Source organism: Homo sapiens, chromosome 6, assembly GCF_000001405.40.
Source record: "Homo sapiens chromosome 6, GRCh38.p14 Primary Assembly".
Taxonomy (NCBI): Eukaryota; Metazoa; Chordata; class Mammalia; order Primates; family Hominidae; genus Homo; species Homo sapiens.
Window position 1 is genome coordinate 38,272,080 of NC_000006.12, and position 19,890 is coordinate 38,291,969.

The following is a 19,890-nucleotide window of genomic DNA, read 5'->3' on the forward strand; positions in this document are numbered from 1 at the left end:
TACATTCTCAAACTGATAGGATAGTCATTGACCACTACCCTCTAGAGCCCTACTAAAGGGGATGGAAGTAGTAGGGTAGGGTGAAGAAATTACAGAGACATTTAAAGTCAATAAACAATATGTCAAAAAAATAAAGTTTTATAGTCTTTGATAAGGCAGTTAATATGACAGTAGTAAAATAATAATATATCAGTTATAGAGGAAGATGACACTATAGACTAAAACACACTAATTAAGTACACAGTGCTGAGTTGTTTGTTGGTGACCAGGAGAAAATGGATTTGTACAGATCTATCCTGTTGCCAGCTCTGTCTACTGTAATTATAAAAAGCATTTTACAAGATAGCTGGCCAGGGCAGTCTATGACCACAGAACAATAAAAACCTTATAGTACTTGGCATTTTAACAGAACTACTCATTTAGACTCTTTAATGAAACCAATTTTAAATGGATGACTCTGTTAAACACGTTCTTCTCAAATAGATGCAACTAATCTCCATGAATTTTCTGCTTGTCTCTGAGTCTAATGTATACAGCTAAAATCTCACTACAGTGAACACAACCGTGACAAAGTCATTTTCCTATTTTACTAGTAGGGCTATTATCAACAAGATATTATTTATCTGGTTACCACCAATTCTCAAACAATTCTTTATAGATGATGGTTTATCTATTTCTAACAGGGTTCCTATGAACCTTCTAATAAAAACAGTACTTGATTATATGCTCTTTATTATCTTTTAACCTCAGAAAGGAGATGAATACAGAAAGGTCAGATATCAGGAAAAGAAATGACAAGAGGTTTGCATTGGACATCAGAGGACAATTAAATGGTATATAACTGTCTAAAGGAATTAGAGCTATTGTTCTAGATCCCAACCAACCCTTCTCACAAGGTTCCTGAGGTAAGTATATGCCAAGGAAAGTTCCAGCAAATGAGAAGCAAAGGGATACTTTATTGTTGGTACTTGTACAATTTTTGGCCCAAAACCCTAATGCAAAGGGTGTATAGGACATGGAGCACTCCCTGTTCCCAAGTTGCTTATGCCTGAACAGCTTCAAACCAAAGCAAGCCAGGAGGCCTTCTCTGTCCCTTTGTCAACATCCAAAGCTTATTCTTGGTTCTTACCACTATAATGTAAGGAAGAATCAACCCAGTACACTTTGTAGTACAGTAATGTCCTTTTATCCATGTGGGGTGCATTCCAAGACCCCCCAGTGGATGACTGAATCCACAGATAGTATACAACCCTATATTTTGTATACTATATTGTTTTGATTTGATAACTGAGATGGCTACTAAGTGACTCCTGGACTACGGTCCAGCTGCACATGTCAGACAAGGGGATGCTTCACATTCCAGGGAGGATGGAGCAGGCCAGTGTGAAATCTCATTACACAGTCATGCAATTCAAAAGTAGAGATAATGACATGCAATTTAAAACTTTTCCATTGTTTACTTCTGGAATTTTCCATTTAATATCATGCACCACAGTTGACTACAGGCAACTAAAACCACAGAAAGCAAAACCACAGATAAAAGGGGATGACCATACCAGAGAATCAGAGTAAATATAGGGAGATCATTGCCCCCCATTGCCTAGCACTGAGCTGCCCCTGAGCTGAGTTAGAAATTGGTTTCATTAAAGATTCTTACTCTTACTGCCCTAGGAAACAAAAAATAAGGGTATCCAAGGAGAGAAAAGGATGGATCTGCTTACCACTTTGTTGTAAAGAACAGAATAAAGGAGAAGAGTCAGGAGAGATGGAGGAGAGCGAATTACAAAGCAGGAAGGCAGGGCCTCCTTCTAGGTTGTAGTGGTCCTGGCTCACGCCACTTAGGGCCCAGTGGGAGACCAAAGACACAAGTGATTCCACTAAACTATTCTGAGCCTGCTCTGAGTGCTGCAAACAGACTAATCTGATCATCATCTTCTTGTCCACAATTTCAGGAAGGAGTGAAGATGGATATAGGGGAAGGCATGAAGAAATGGTCGAAGGAAGAGGTCCTTCACGTCCCTTGTACGTTGGATTCCTAGGTATTTTATTCTCTTTGAAGCAATTGTGAATGGGAGTTCACTCATGATTTGGCTCTCTGTTTGTCTGTTATTGGTGTATAAAAATGCTTGTGATTTTTGTACATTGATTTTGTATCCTAAGACTTTGCTGAAGTTGCTTATCAGCTTAAGGAGATTTTGGGCTGAGACAATGGGATTTTCTAGATATACAATCACATCATCTGCAAACAGGGACAATTTGACTTCCTCTTTTCCTAATTGAATACCCTTTATTTCCTTCTCCTGCCTAATTGCCCTGGCCAGAACTTCCAACACTATGTTGAATAGGAGTGGTGAGAGAGGGCATCCCTGTCTTGTGCCAGTTTTCAAAGGGAATGCTTCCAGTTTTTGCCCATTCAGTATGATATTGGCTGTGGGTTTGTCATAGATAGCTCTTATTATTTTGAGATGCGTCCCATCGATACCTAATTTATTGAGAGTTTTTAGCATGAAGGATTGTTGAATTTTGTCAAAGGCCTTTTCTGCATCTATTGAGATAATCATGTGGTTTTGTCTTTGGTTCTGTTTATATGCTGGATTACATTTACTGATTTGCGTATGTTGAACCAGCCTTGCATCCCAGGGATGAAGCCCACTTGATCATGGTGGATAAGCTTTTTGATGTGCTGCTGGATTCGGTTTGCCAGTATTTTATTGAGGATTTTTGCATCAATGTTCATCAAGGATATTGGTCTAAAGTTCTCTTTGTTCGTTGTGTCTCTGCCAGGCTTTGGTATCAGGATGATGCTGGCCTCATAAAATGAGTTAGGGAGGATTCCCTCTTTTTCTATTGATTTATAGATTCAATACCATCTCCATCAAGCTACCAATGACTTTCTTCACAGAATTGGAAAAAACTACTTTAAAGTTCATATGGAACCAAAAAAGAGCCCGCATCGCCAAGTCAATCCTAAGCCAAAAGAACAAAGTCGGAGGCATCACGCTACCTGACTTCAAACTATACTACAAGGCTACAGTAACCAAAACAGCATGGTACTGGTTCCAAAACAGAGATATAGATCAATGGAACAGAACAGAGCCCTCAGATATAACGCCACATATCTACAACTATCTGATCTTTGACAAACCTGACAAAAACAAGCAATGGGGAAAGGATTCCCTATTTAATAAATGGTGCTGGGAAAACTGGCTAGCCATATGTAGAAAGCTGAAACTGGATCCCTTCCTTACACCTTATACAAAAATTAATTCAAGATGGATTAAAGACTTAAACGTTAGACCTAAAACCATAAAAAGCCTAGAAGAAAACCTAGGCAATACCATTCAGGACATAGGCATGGTCAAGGACTTCATGTCTAAAACACCAAAAGCAATGGCAACAAAAGCCAAAATTGACAAATGGGATCTAATTAAACTAAAGAGCTTCTGCACAGCAAAAGAAACTACCATCAGAGTGAACAGGCAACCTACAAAATGGGAGAAAATTTTTGCAACCTACTCATCTGACAAAGGGCTAATATCCAGAATCTACAATGAACTCAAACAAATTTACAAGAAAAAAACAAACAACTCCATCAAAAAGTGGGCGAAGGATATGAACAGACACTTCTCAAAAGAAGATATTTATGCAGCCAAAAACACATGAAAAAATGCTCACCATCACTGGCCATCAGAGAAATGCAAATCAAAACCACAATGAGATACCAACTCACACCAGTTAGAATGGCGATCATTAAAAAGCCAGGAAACAACAGGTGCTGGAGAGGATGTGGAGAAATAGGAACACTTTTACACTGTTGGTGGGACTGTAAACTAGTTCAACCATTGTGGAAGTCAGTGTGGCGATTCCTCAGGGATCTAGAACTAGAAATACCATTTGACCCAGCCATCCCATTACTGGGTATATACCCAAAGGACTATTAAATCATGCTGCTATAAAGACACATGCACACATATGTTTATTGCGGCACTATTCACAATAGCAAAGACTTGGAACCAACCCAAATGTCCAACAACAATAGACTGGATTAAGAAAATGTGGCACATATCCACCATGGAAAACTATGCAGCCATAAAAAATGATGAGTTCATGTCCTTTGTAGGGACATGGATGAAATTGGAAATCATCATTCTCAGCAAACTATCGCAAGGACAAAAAACCAAACACCGCATGTTCTCACTCATAGGTGGGAATTGAACAATGGAACACATGGACACAGGAAGGGGAACATCACACTCCGGGGACTGTTGTGGGGTGGGGGGAGGGGGGAGGGATAGCATTAGGAGATATACCTAATGCTAAATGACGAGTTAATGGGTGCAGTACACCGACATGGCACATGTATACATATGTAACAAAGCTGCACATTGTGCACATGTACCCTAAAACTTAAAGTATAATAATAATAAAATAAAAAATAAAAAAAAGAAATGGTCAAAGGAAAAGCAGACTGTATTTGTACTTCTTCTCCCAAGATTTAAAATTGTCGTATTGCTATAATTACCCTCCCACAGACTGTACTTCTTGTTTCAAATGTCCCGAAAGTCAGGAATACTCATTATACTCCTAACAAAAAACCAACCATGTTAACCAAGAAGTTAGAACAGCAAAAGACTGGAGGTAGTATGACGGTCATTGCCTGTATCTTCTTTGAAAGTAAGAGGTCTTTTTTTAAAAAAAATCTATCACTTCATTCCAAGGCAAACAGACTTGACTTTTTCAACTCCAGATCTTAAAGACTGAAACTACTATTTATAGTGGGACTTTTGATATAATTAATCTGTCACTACAAAATAATGTAGGTATGCCGTAAAATTTCTGATCTTGGAATGTTGTATGTATACAAGAAGAGCCAACTCTGTTTTGGTTGATCAAATACATCTGGTTAACAGACTCCATGTAAACTGACAATTTAGGTAAGAGTTTGGATATGGTAAACTATAGTTAACTAAAGTAAAACGAAACCAAATAAAATTTATTCTGATTTTGATCAATCAGGAGGTACTAGTAATCTTGCCCTGCCTCCCAAATTTCATCGTGGCATGAATTATCACTATGCTGGCAAAGCACAGGAGACCAGTTACAGAAAGCCAGTATATTAAGTGTTTGCAACAGAAACTTGAAGTTTTTTTCAAGAAGTAAGTGTCATGAATATGAAACCAAACATATATAATCAATGAAGCCTCTCATTTTGGGTCAGAATTGTGCAATAAACAGACATAGGCTTTTATTTACAGAACTTTTTTTTTTTTTTGAGATGGAGTCTCACTCTGTCACCCAGGCTGGAGTGCAGGGGCGTGATCTCGGCTCACTGCAACCTCTGCCTCCTGTGCTCAAGCGATTCTCTTGCCTTGGCCTCCTGAGTAGCTGGGATTACAGGCGCCCACCACCACGCCTGGCTAATTTTTGTATTTTCAGTAGAGACAATGTTTCATCATGTTGGCCAGGCTGGTCTTGAACTCCTTACCTCAGGTGATCCGCCTGCCTTGGCCTTCCAAAGCGCTGGGATTACAGGCGTGAGCCACCATGCCCAGCCAGCTACAGAACATTTTTGAAGCTGAGAATAAGAGAAAATATTATTATCATAGTACTGTTTTAGATACATCCAGAAGCTGTGGACTCTAAGGGAAGCTTTTAAAAATAAAAGGGAAAAAGCCCCCACTGAATTATATACTTTAAATGGGTGAATTATATGGCATGTGAATTATATTTCAATAGAGTAGTTTTAAAAAATAAACAGAACACATGAAATATGGAGATCTGTTAAAATTCCAAAGCACATGTGAAATGGCAAGCAGGAGGTAGTGTTCTGTGGCAGAGCTGTTGGCTAGATAAGCCAACCCCCTTACCATGACCCTCAGTTTCTTAGCCAACCTTGCTAGGGCTGACCGTATGACATAGTTCTACCTAATAATTCTAAGTGAAAGTTGGCTGGGTAGGGCTTCAAATAAAGCTTTGGATTTTCCTAATAAAAAAGGAATAAACTTGGCTGGTAGGCTTTTATCCTTGTATCCCTTTGTCCTTCTTTTTCCTGCCTAAACACAGACATGGTAGCTAAAACTGTAGTCCCTATCTTGTTTCTCTGGGGCAAAATACACATGGAAAAGACCAAGAAAATTGTAGAGATCACTGAATTGCAGAACCAATATGGGCAGCCATGCCCCTGTGGACTTTTTGTTATGTGACACAAAAACAAACAAACAAAACAAAAAATAAAACTGAAAAAACAAGTCTTTCTTAATGAGATTATTTGTTATTTGCAGCCAAATGCAAGCTCCTTTGGAACAAATGACCTCTAGTAAAACAAATGTAAAGTCTCAGTTGCAACATATAATGGCAGTTTCTATAATTTATGACCACAGAAATCAAGGGTGGATTGAACCATAAGATGTGATGGCTCCTTTCATTTTCTTTGTAAGGCTATAGGAGGTTCTGCAGGATCACGAAACAAATTAGAATCTTTGGAGCTGGAGTTTTACCATGGGTTGTGTTGTCCTACTCCTGATGGAGAGAAAGGGATGAAACTCAAACTATGCTTTGATTTCTTCATCTTGTAAATGAAAACAGTGAGAGCAGCTAAAGCTCCAGAACCACTGTAAGACATGGTGACCAAAAGAACCATTAGCCATTTCTAAAAATTAAACTGTACAGAAGGTCTAAACACTCTTGGCTGGTGTTTGGTTACAGTAAAAGAATAATGTGGCAAGGCAGGTAATATCATAACCATTGAGGGATATGGTTTCAGGCATAATAAGGTAAAAGGAAGAAAGAAGATCCTGACCATTAAGTCTTAAGGGCAGCAAGGAAAGAAAATCCAGGGAGAAGTAAAAGCATACTCTGCATTTATCTATGTAACCAATCCCCCTTGCACTGAATCTGATACATTGCTGAAAGAGGCAGTGCAGCAGGCAAATAATGATTCCTCAGCTAGAGCTAAGACCCTGAGTGTCCAGGAAAGTTGCTGAAAGGAGTCCTTGACGGGCACCAACCAGCCTGTCATCATAATCATCTTTCCTAGAAGAAGAATGCAGAAATGGAGGTAGACAGAGAGGAGAGGCAAGAAGAGGAGATGAAAGAGTTTTTCTTGGTCTCAGTGCTTCTGCTTGTTCTTAAGTAGATATACAAGCATGTTTTGGTCAAGTGCCTCTGTGGTTACCAATGTAAGGGGCTAAGCTTTTTAAAAAGAGAGATACACTGACATCAGGTGCTATCGAGATGTACCAAAAGTATCTGAACAAAGTGACAAAGTTGGGCTCCTGGGAAAAGAGTCTCTGATTTAAGGGTACTTGGGGAAAGAATAAGAAGATTTTCAAAGGTAGATCACTGCTTTGAATTAATTCAAGAATTAGCCTTAAATGACTGTGACCCTTCATCAGTTTTTTCAGAATAGCTTTATTCTGAAAAATACTCAAAAGCTATATTAAAGCAATTTGATGTATTAAATGTGTACAAATTTCAATTTGCTTGAAGTCCTATGCTTCTGTTAGCCCTCATGAGAATAGCTGCATTTCTGTGACCCCGTGTGGCCTATCCTGGGGCAGCAGCATATAAAACATCTGCCACAGAAGGAGGAGGCTGATGCTTTCCACTCATTTCGTTTTCCAAGGTGAACAATTCTGGTTTTTAAAATGATTGCTATAATCACTACCGGTGAAGTATTTGTTTTAAAGAGTTCTTAACAATTCTAGATAATTACTAAACACACACGTGTGCATGAAAAAATGGGTCAGATGGGGCCGAAATCCTCTGTAAAAATGTCTTATTGATGGGTTAAAATCTTGGAAAGCTAAAAGGATTCTTTTCATATATCCAGCTATATCTTATGATGACTACTTGCCAAGTTCTCCAATCACTCAACAGAGGTAAATGGTTGACATGTGAGGTAAATCACACACATGAACACACAAACATATTTTTTTTTTTGGCATTTAACTTTTCCTGCTTTTCCAAAGAACATCTGAATTCTAGTGCTCCTCCTGTATTTTTAACACACAACTTAGTTGCCATAGCAATACTGTCTGGTCTTGAAATACCTCTAGGATGAAACTGGCTGAGGCATATTTACCATGCCCCCAAACTATCCTGCTATCTGTTTCCAGGATCCAGGATTTCTGGCCCTCTATGCATTCACACAGTTCAGACTTCAGCACCTACTGGGAACCATAGATAAAATTATTTGCTGTATGATTTTTCTGGGAACCAGAGCTCTGAGGTCTGAGGGTGATAAAAGAAGACTTTAGAGTGATGCAGATAGGCTCAGAGAGAAACAACACTTAGTAATAAATCATGGATCAGTGAGACAAGGAAGAATTCCTTGGTTCCGGGCTGTGACAGACGACATTCAGCATGACTGATATGAAGCAAATTTTGTAAAATATCTTTCCAATTTTGACTAGAATTATAAGCAATCTTAATCCAAGCCAGAAGAGTCATATATTTAGATGTTTGCTGTATTCTTCAGGCTATAAAAAGGAAATTTCTAGCTCTCTAGGTTGCAAAGAAGGCTGTCTTAATGTAAATAGATGTACTGCTTGCCTGTGCAGCACTCAGACAGAATGAAATGGAAGCGGCATGGAACAAGTGAGGCAAGCATTTTTACCTGTGCTAATGTCATCACCTGTGCTAATGTCAGAGCCTAACTCCAGAGCTCAATCTCAGTCATTTGCTGGAGATGTTGGATCTTTAGCAGTTTCCTCACATACACTTAGATAAGACACACTGAGCAAATATGATGTCCAATTTAGTTGCTAGATAGAACTCCCTTTAGTTGCACTAGCATCTATGTTGTCAGTTTAGTCAATGAGTGTTTATTGAGTACTCACAGCACAGAGAAGCATACTATGCATTTGGAAACTGCTGCAAAGACTCAAGCTCATCACAACATTAAAAAATCACTATCTTCAATTTGAGATTATCTGTGGTCCTACTAGAGATTGAGTGCAGCACAGATGTAGAAAATACTCAAATAATTACAAAACATTATTTGAGTCATTAGCCCCAATTCCTCTACCCACCCTTATTGACTAAGCCTTCATTTGGCTATTAAGTAGGAAAAAAATGGCATTTTTTACAGTTCCTCTCCTTTTTCTTTTCTGTGCTTATCCTTCTGGAGGGAAGTGCATGAGCAACAGTTAGGCAGGGTGGTAAGCAGCAGGAAGAAGAAAAAATAGCAGTCTAAAGGAGGTCACGGTAATTTACAAACTGAATAGATAATCTAGAGTTGGTTGTAGCCACACAATAGTGAAAGGACAATTGAACTCGGCATGGGCTTGACAGTTCACAGAGAAAGAAAAATATACCAGATGAATAAGGACCACAGTGGCATATGTAATTCTTTTATTATTATTATTTTTTTAGGATCAACTTGCTATTACTTCTTTTTATCTACTTAATAACTACAAGACATAAACTGATTTGTGGTTCAGACAGTCTGTGCCAGATTAACTTTTTAAAGTGGTAGAATTGTTTTTTCCTTCTGCAAAACAAAAAGAGCTTCACCCCACAGACTAAAGAGATTATGAATACCCATCAAGAAACTATTTTGGGCTAGACATCTTTTGTCCTAACATATTGCATTTATATAATATTTTCCAACTGAAGAACTCAAAATGTTTTTGTGTCATTAACTTCTTAATACTCACAACACCCACAGAGACAATGGGTTTAGTTAGCTGCATCTATCTAAACAGTCTTATCTTTTGACACCCTATTTACTATTATTTGTTATTTAAAATATTTTGGGTATTTCACTTACTCTATTGCACATATCAATTGCAAAAACATCGTTCAAACCAATGTAAAAATTGTTAATTTAACTGACTATCTTATAATTAGGGTTTCAACAAAGTGCTGTCATTTATTAGCTGGAAAAGACTGGATGATAGGTATACTTAATGCATAGCATATTTGAGTTCTCATACTAGCCTGAAAACACTAAAAAGGATATCACAATTAGCAAGTAGAAAGATAATAAGTCTTAAACTAAGGCGACAGAGGGACTATAAACTAAGACATTAGGTGGATTTGGTTAGTTATTATGACTCTACTCTGGTCTTTTTATGTGGTCAAGCCTCTGAAGACTTCCCGTTATTTAAATTTTAATGTTTTTAAAATGGCATGAAAATGATATAATTACTATTCAATTATCCACTTTTAAGGCACATTTCAGGTAATTTCTCTCTCTTTTCTTGAAAATAAAATGCGTAACTTTTGCTGTGCTTGTAAACCTAGCAACACCAAGGACAAACTCCTTTATTTCCCAGTTATGCTACCTTGGGAATGAGAAAGAAATGCAAGAGACGAAAGAGCTTCCTGTTAAATGGTAAGTTAGGACACCTCCTGCTGTTTCTTTTCTAGGAGCGGACTGGATCAAGGAAGGTCAGGAGCAGACAAGGTGGTTTCTAAAGGCATGAGGGCCTCCCCATCCCTGCCCCTCCTCTGCTCTGATGGCGCTGAAGAAACACTGAAACATGGGTGGTGGTGGCGGGGTGGGATGGAAACATCTCAGGCTGTCACCTCTCAAAGCTATCTCTCAGCTGGCCATGCTATCCCCTCCCTCCTGCTCCAGCCACACTGGCCTCCTAGCTGCTCCTGTGGCCTGCCAGGCAAGCTCCACTCCAGGGCTTGGCACTGCCGGTGATGCTCATCCCCAGAGGACTTACTGTCTCCATCCTTTGGGATCTGCTCACACTTCACCCTTCTCAGTGAGGCCTTCCTGACCACCCAATCTAAAACTGGACTCTGTCTCCAACCCGGTTTTTCCTCCTGATTCCCCCATGGCACTTCTAAATATCAGCCATCTAAAAAACAGCGTTTATTATCTCCCCTCAACCCCACTAGAATGTCAGTTCCATGAGAGCACCAATGTTTATTTTGTTTATTCAATGCCATATCCCCAGTGCCTACAATAGTGCCTAGCACATAGTAAGAGGATTAGTAAATTTTGTTGAATGAATCAACGAAAATGCGGGTATAGAGAGAGGGTCAGAGATCATGTTTGGAGTCTACCCTTTCTAGTATACCACAGGATATTGGTATCTGACTCACTAAGAGGATTAGACAGCCACTGACCATGCTTACTTAGGCCCAAACATTTTTCATCAAGAAAGAAGGTTCTACTTGCCTACCCAACTACGGAGTAAACTCTCAGAAAAGGAAGAAATGGCTTCTGTGGATGAAAACAGCCAAACAAAAGAAATCCTTATTCACAAAGCAATTATGTCCTTCACTTAGCAATAGCAAATGCAGTGACCAAGATAATTCATGTTTGGCCAGGTGCAGGGGCTCACACCTGTAATCCCAGCACTTTGGGAGGCTAAGTCAGTAGGATCACTTGAGCCCAGGAGTTCGAGACCAGCCTAGGCAACAAAGCAAGACCCTGTCTCTACAAAAAATTTTATAAACTAGTCAGGTGTGGTGGTGCATGCCTGTGGTCCCAGCTGCTCAAGAGGCTGAAGTGGGAGGATTGCTTGAGCCCAAGAGGTCAAGGCTGCAGTAAGCCATGATCACACCATCATGTTTGAGACCTTTGCCTCTGTAGTCACCAAATATAAAGGAATCTGAATATTTAAAACCAATATACCATTGATTGGGCCCTACCACAGCCAGGGTAAGAGAGGGTTTCCAGGATTTCCAGATCTCCTCCCTCCTAGATGGGGAAACTGTTAAGTCACTGGGCTCTGTAATACTCTCCCTCTGGTGTTGATGCAGAATCACTGGGTTTCTTCAGATACAATGCCTAGGAAAGCAAGTCAGCCATCACAAGCAATAGAAGCTGTGGGTCAAATGTCACTGACTAATCAACCTGTCATTGGTCAATTACTCATCCCCATGAAAGGGGTACCACTCATCTAGTTTCCTGTCAATAAATGTCTATCTGGCCACATCAACTGTCGCTAACTGAAGCCTGCCAAGATCTCCAGCATTGTCACAAGCATTGGTGGCTAAGCAATCTCTCTCCTTTTCCTCTTAATAATGTCACAGAAGAGGCAAATGCAGTTCCTGACAACATAATGTTAGTTTCACAGAGACGTGTCTCTTTGAAGGCTCAGCCAGTTATACAGAGCTTCAATTGCATGGATTTTTTTTTTTACTGGGAAAAAAAAGCGGGCTTAAGGAAGTTGGAGGCTTCATACTGTGCTGAGATACACAATTCTGCCTTTGGTGTGTTCATGCTCATCATCCCCGCTCTGAGTCAGGAAAAGAAAAATTGTTTGGGAGAACCACTTTCATTCCACATTTTAAAAAAACCCAAATGGGCACTGTTCTCTCTTGTCTTAAGCCCCAGTGACAGCCTTTTCTGGAGTCAGATTCAACATCTCTGATTCTTTGGGTAGAGCTAGAGGCCAAGGTGGCCTTGCCACATGAAGAGCCTGTTTGTTTCTCTGAGTTGTCACCCTGATAATAACCTCATGTAGTCCACACTAGATTAAAGATTCTAGGTTTCCTGTTGTACCCCCTCCCCCCAGTTTCCCCTTCTTTTTTGATAGACTACCTCATCAGTACATTGAATCTTTCAAGGGAAGAGTATTCTGAGTTGCCACAGGCTTTTATGTATCAGGTATGGCTGGGAGGAGGCAGCAAGTGAACATTTATAATACAAATGCTCTGATAGAAATTGTATACAAAATTTATGGGATTACTGAAGAGGGATCTATCAATAAGTTCAGGAGATAATGGACGGTTAGAGAAGCATTCCCAAAGGAGTGGAGCCTAAAAGGGGGAATAAAAAAAGAGCCAGGTAAAAAAGGAGGTAATGAGAAGGTAGTGAGAGATGCAAACAATGATATCAGCATGATCAAAGAATTGGAGGCAGGAGGGTAAGAGAGGGTGGAACCCATGTGCAATGCTCTTATCGCTGGATAGGCTGTGACAGAGTCCAGAGTAGCACAGGGTTGGGGAGGGTGGGGAGGGGTGCACACGCAGGACACGAGGTTGTATAGACAGAGGTAAGTCAGATAGCTCTTAAATGCCTTAGTCTGAACTGTCTCCTGAAGGGAACTACTAATCATGATTCCTCTGAGAGAAGGGTGTGGCCATATCAGATGTGTGGGAGGGACGGTTGTGGGTGGGGAACTGGGGGGCCCAATGGAGGTCTGGAAGATTGGGTAGAAAAGTGAAACAACTATTGTGCAACTATGGTAATGCAGTGGGACACAGAAGAGGGGAAGGATTTGTGAGATGTTTAGGCTGTACTGACAGAACTTTATGGCTGACTGGATGAGAGAGGAAGGTGAAGGAGAGGAAGGAAATCAGGGAGATTCCCAAGTTTTTGGCTCAAGTAATGGACAAATGGATGGTGCCACTGAATGAGATGGGGAATCATGACATGACGTGACTTGAACAGGGAGGGAAGGATAATGGAATTCCATTTTAGGCATCTTGGTTTGAGATGCGCATAGAACACTGTTAGATGGTGGCGGTGGTGGGGAGGGAGGTGTGGGGTACCAGGTAAGCAAATGGAAAACGGAGAACATTAAAAGAGAGTGGGCAGAGCTACTAAACTTCCCGTTTGCTTCAATCTTCATTGGCAAGGAGACTGGTCTTCAAATTAGAAATGTCAGAACAAACATAATAAAGAGAAAATTGAAGTCCCAAATAGGTGAAGTCAAAGAGAGTATCTAGTCAATTTAAATGATTTCAAGTCTCCTGACTCAGATGAGTTACACCCCAAGCCTACTGAAAGAAATTGCAGATGTAATCTCAGAGACACGATTGGTAATCTTCAAGAAATTGTGGAGGCTATCAGGGGTGCCAGAAGACAAAAGAAAGACAACTGTTTTCCAGATTTTTAAAGTAAAAAGGGATAGGTTGTAATGGAAAATATAGAGGTTTCACATCATCTTTAACAAAAATTCTAGAATAGCTTACTAAATAGATGGTTTACAAGTACTTTAGTTAATGCATACAGATGACAGAAAGGAAGGTGGGGTATTATTTGCTATTCGACAGAAGTTTATTTGTACAGGTAGCTGATGTGGCTTGTCTCTTTCCCTCCCTAAGCACAAAGTAAGCTGGTCTGGCCTGAGGTACAAACTCGAGGCTTCTCTATCTGTGATTTGTTGCCTATGGTACTCAGCCTGTAATGTGGCCCTTTATAAAAAAGGGTCAACAATTTAAATGAAGAATCCACAGTCTGAATTCTCCAAGAAACCCAGCATCAACTCCTTAGGGTGCCCTGGGGAACCAGCAAGCAGCATCAACTTCTATGGTTATTAGCCTAAACATCAATAAACCTTTGCTTATTAGAATATTAGTACCTTATTTTTTGTGCTATTTCTTTCTTTATACATACTGATTTTCAAATGAGAACAGGAAACAACAAAGCAAATGTGGTGGAACATTATGGGGGAAAGGCAGTCATGTCTTGCCAATACCTTTACTCCAGGCAGGCTAAGATATACATATACATATACACACACATACATATATATATAAACATTATATGTTTTCATTAGCCCTTCAGAGACCTTCTTAGAACATTAAATAATAAAAAGAAGAGAAGAGAAAAAGCAGCTTACTTAAGACCCAGATGGCAATCTTCAACTAAAAGTATAGTCATGCACTGCATAATGAGATGTTTTAGTCAAGGACGAACTGCATTTATGATTGTCTCATAAGATATAATGAAGCTGAAAAATGCTTATCGCCTAGTGATATCATAATGTCGCAGCACTATTACTTTATTAAAAAAATTTAGTGTTGGCTGGGCGCCATGGCTCATGCCTGTAATCCCAGCACTTTGGGAGGCCGAGGCGGGCTGATCACTTGAGGTCAGGAGTTCAAGACCAGCCTGGCCAACATGATGAAACCCCATCTCTACTAAAAATACAAAAATTAGCCAGCCATGGTGACAGGTGCCTATAATCCCAGCTACTTGGGAGGCTGAGGCAAGAGAATGGCTTGAACCTGGGAGGCAGAGGTTGCGGTGAGCCAAGATCGCACCATTGCATTCCAGCCTGGGTGACAATAGTGAGGCTCCATCTCAAAAAAAAAAAAAAAAAAAAAAAATATACACACACACACACACACACACACACACACACACATATAGCAGCCTAAATGTACAATGTTTAAAAGTCTACAGTACAGTAATGTCCTAGGCCTTCACATTCACCCATCACTCACTCACTGACTCACCCAGAGCAACTTCTTGTCCTGCAAGCTCCATTCATGGTAAGTGCCCTACACAGGTGTACCATTTTTTATGTTCTTCTTTTTTTTTTTAATTGAGATGAGACCTTGTAATGTTGCCCAAGCTGGTCTCGAACTCCTGAGCTTTCAAGCGATCCGCCCACCTCCGCCTCCCAAAGTGCTGAGATTACAGGCATGAGGCACCGTGCCCAGGCACCATTTTTTATCTTGTATATTATATTTTTCTTGTACGTTTTCTATGTTTAGACATGTTCAGATACACAAATACTTACCACTGTGTTATAATTGCCTACAGTCTTCAGTATAGTAACATGCTGTACAGGTTTGTAGCCTAGGAGCAACAGAACATACCATCTAGCCTAGGTGTGTGGTAGGCTATATACCATCTAGGTTTGTGTAAGGACACTCTATGATGTTTCCACAATGACAAAATTGGCTGACAGTGCATTTCTTACAGTGTGTCTCTGCCATTAAGCAATGCATGACTGTATATCCTCTGAGGGATATCACCAGTCTCACGTTTAAAAATTATATAATCCTATAAATCAAGCAAGGTTAAAGTTCCCTTCTTAAAACAAAAAGGAACAACAAAAAGCCCAGGCGCAAAGATCACTAAGATTATTCAAAACCAGATCTCGAATTCAGATCTGTTTGGTTCATATGTAATTTATTAAAGTTGAAAATGATTTTTCATTCTATATAACCTATCTTGACATTATCCTATAAGTCTCTAACCAATACAAATTGAGACTTGAAAAGGACATAAGCCACCCAGGGAGAAGCCTCTTGTCTAGTTCCTCCATGAGTCTAACTTCAGTGTACTGCCCCAGTGGAAAATCCAAACAAGCACGCTATATCTCGTTGTTGTCCCTTCCTTCGGCTCCCACTCCTTTCTTGATACTTAGAGCAAAGAACAGTAGAATTTCTTCACTGAAGTTATTAGGATTATCATTTTACCAAAATACAATCTATATGTGTATCTTCCATTTTAAAACTTATGAATGAGGAGGAATCTTCTTACCGTATTGACCCAATCATGTACGGTTGTGCCAACTGAACCACAATCGCACCACTTCCTAGCTGGTGACATGTGTAGCCAGAATCCCAGTCATAATTCTTAGTGTCCCCATTCAGCAAGGCATTTCGGCTCCGACTGACTCCTTCAATCACACTGGCACAATCAGCAATTGTTGCAACATTCTCCATGGGAACTGTGAATCCAAAAACAAGATTTGGCATCAGGATAAGAGAAGCCAAATATATCTCTATAGTGTGCTCAGAACAAAATTAATTAATTGCTATCTCAAATCAATGATAAAAGAAAAATTAGAACATCTGGATTATCTTCAGATATGAATACATTTTCCATGCCAAATAGCTTTTTAAAAAATGTTAAGCCCAGTGGGCATGGTGGCTCACACCTGTAATCTCAGCACTTTGGGAGGCTGAGGTGGGCAGATCACTTGAGGTCAGGAGTTTGAGACCAGCCAACATGGTGAAACCCCATCTCTACTAAAATATAAAAAATCAGCCAGGCGTGGTGGCGTGTGCCTGTAGTCCCAGCTACTCGGGAGGCCGAGGCAAGAGAATTGCTTGAACCTGGGAGGCAGAGGATGCAGTAAGCCAAGATCGCATCACTGCGCTCCAGCCTGGGTGACAGAGCGAGACTCGTCTCCAAAAAAAGAAAAAAAGAAAAAGCAAGGCATAGAAAAACACAGGCTATGTATTCACTTATACAAAGTTTTCAACAAAGTCAAAACTAAAACATACTTTGTTTAGAGCTATATACATAAAACTAAAAAGGGAATCTAGGAAATTAATACAGAAAATTAAAAATAGCAGCCAGGCACGGTGGCTCACACCTGTAACCCCAGCACTTTGGGAGGCTGAGGAGGGCAGATAGCTTGAGCTCAGGAGTTCAAGACCAGCCAGGATAATGTGGTGAAACCCCATTTCTACCCAAAATACAAAAAATTAGCCAGGCGTGGTAGCACACATCTGTGGTCCCAGCGACTCGGCCTACTGAGGTGGGAGGATTGCTTGGGCCTGGGAAGCAATGGTTGCAGTGAGCCGAGGTCATGCCACTGTCCTCCAGCCTTAATAACACGGTGAGACTCCCTCTCAAAAAAAATTTTTTTTAATTGATTTTATGTCTAATAAATACTGCTCTTGTTCTATATCTTAAGCTAGCTGGTAGGTACATAGGTATTTGTTTTATTAGTAGTCTCTAAGCTGCAGATATTTTCTATTATTCTGAATAATATCTATTATTCTGAAAGTCTGTTTAAAGAAACATGTTAAATTCAGAATTTTGAAACTCACATAATAGGAAAGTGATCTGAGACCTGGTACCAAACCCATTTCAGAATATACAGTTGCCCTCAGCCATGATTAATTTCTTTTTTTTGTCTACTATTCTGTGCATTGCAACATATATGCTCTTCCCATTGTTCATGAACTGCTGCATCTTAAAAACCCAGCTGTTCTGATTTTGAGTCTCTCTCTATATAACTCAAGTCTATATCAACCTGCTCATTTATAAAAGTCAAGAACTTCCACAAAATGATGGATGCTCACTATGATGTAAGTTCTCTAAACACTGAGAAGAGAATAAAAGGTGAGGGCCTTTTAAGTCCCCTGGGACCTTTTCTGCACGTTTAAAACAAAAACCTTTAATTTTCTTCAGACATTTAAGTTATTTAACCAAAACCTACTTACATTCAAGGTTTGTAGCTTACATCAGATAAATTAAAATAGATTGGAAAAGAAAAAAGTAATTTTACATATATCTTCTATGCAACTCATTTATTTTCCAAAGTTGGACATGCTTGTACTTAAGCCCTCATCTCGTATGCCTTCACTAATTGCTTTGCTCTCTGTAGCTGAGTAAAGCCACCCACAGAGAAGAAAGGAAGGGAGAGGAGGGAGAGAGAGAGGATGAATTTTTCTGGTGATGAATTCCTTGATTATGAAGCTTAATTCCAAAGCAACAAGTAAAAACACCGGTGAAATTACCTGTAAGGACAGTTTCCTGGCAGAGAAGGAGCTCAGAGAGAAGCTCCCTGTGACTTTGGAAAGAAACAGAAGTGGACTATATTTAGAAGGTAAGTTATGGTACTTCTATCTCCTGGAAAAAGGGCAGTATTCTTTGATTTGGAAGAGAGAATGAAAGGAAGTGGTATAAGATGTACAGTAAATTGAGCTGAGACATAACACTGTAGACAGGTTATGCTGCAGCAACTGACAGGCCCCTACTCTCTCAGTGGCTTAACATAGCACACATTTATTTTTTCACTCACCCTATGTATTCAGTGACGATCAGCCAGGAGGCTCTGCTCATTGTATCACTCAGGGATCCCAGTGACAGAGGCTTCATACTGACATGTGCTTCCCCAATCACAGCCGCAGTGGGAAGAGAGTAAGCTGGGCACAGGCTCTTAAAACTCTTCCCCAAAAGTAATGCATGTCACTTTGTACATATTTCATTGTCTAAGTCACATGGTCTTATCTAACTTCAGAGGGGACTAGAAAGCACAACCCTGCTGTGTGCCTGGGAAAAGCTCCAGGGAGAAAAAATGGGGTATTTGGTGAACAACATTTAATGTCTACTACAAACATTAAGCCTGGATGAAAGAGCATTTAACAGACAGGTACATCTGGGTCATCTGTTTCAAGTATTTAAAGTATTTCAATGTATGAATATTCTAAGATTTATATATCTATTCTCTTGCTGAAGGACATTTAGATTGTTACCATTGTTTTCTTTGCCATTACAAACAAAGATGTCTTCTTGTATTCCCAGGTAAGAGTTTCTTAAAGGAATACTTGAGATTTCTATGTATGTGGAAGTGGAATTACACTCATGGCTATGAGTTAACTTCAACTTCCCTAGATATTGCCAAATTTTTCACCAAAGTGGTTGTAAAACTTTATACTCTCTCCTTGAAGAGGTCCTTTACATCCCTTGTCAGTTGGATTCCTAGGTATTTTATTCTCTTTGTAGCAATTGTGAATGGGAGTTCACTCATGATTTGGCTCTCTGTTTATCTGTTATTGGTGTATAGGAATGCTTGTGATTTTTGCACATTGATTTTGTAACCTGAGACTTTGCTGAAGTTGCTTATCAGCTTAAGGAGATTTTGGGTTGAGACGATGGGATTATCTAAATATACAATCATGTCATCTGCAAACAGAGACAATTTGACTTCCTCTCTTCCTATTTGAATATCCTTTATGTCTTTCTCTAGCCTGATTGCCCTGGCCAGAACTTCCAATACTATGTTGAATAGGAGTGGTGAGAGGGCATCCTTGTCTTGTGCTGGTTTTCACAGGGAATGCTTCCAGCTTTTGCCCATTCAGTATGATATTGGCTGTGGGTTTGTCATAAATAGCTCTTATTATTTTGAGATACGTTCCATCAATACCTAGTTTACTGAGAGTTTTTAGCATGAAGGGGTGTTGAATTTTATCTAAGGCCTTTTCTGCGTCTATTGAGATAATCATGTGTTTTTTGTCACTGGTTCTGTTTATGTGATGGATTACGTTTATTGATTTGCGTATGTTGAACCAGCCTCGCATCCCAGGGATGAAGCTGACTTGATTGTGGTGGATAAGCTTTTTGATGTGCTGCTGGATTCAGTTTGCCAGTATTTTATTGAGGATTTTTGCATAGATGTTCATCAGGGATATTGGCCTGCAATTTTCTTTTTTCTTTCTTTT

General features: G+C 39.8%; 1 protein-coding gene across 7 annotated transcripts in view; it reads right to left on the minus strand.

Annotated features, from left to right (window-relative positions):
• BTBD9 (BTB domain containing 9) overlaps positions 1–19,890 on the minus strand; it is a 471,479-nt gene that overhangs the window by 103,629 nt on the left and 347,960 nt on the right. For all 7 annotated transcript variants that reach the window (NM_001099272.2, XM_047418145.1, XM_047418146.1 and 4 more), the window contains one exon: positions 16,193–16,382. In NM_001099272.2, the coding sequence (NP_001092742.1) occupies positions 16,193–16,382 (190 nt within the window). The remainder of the gene's footprint in view (positions 1–16,192; positions 16,383–19,890) is intronic.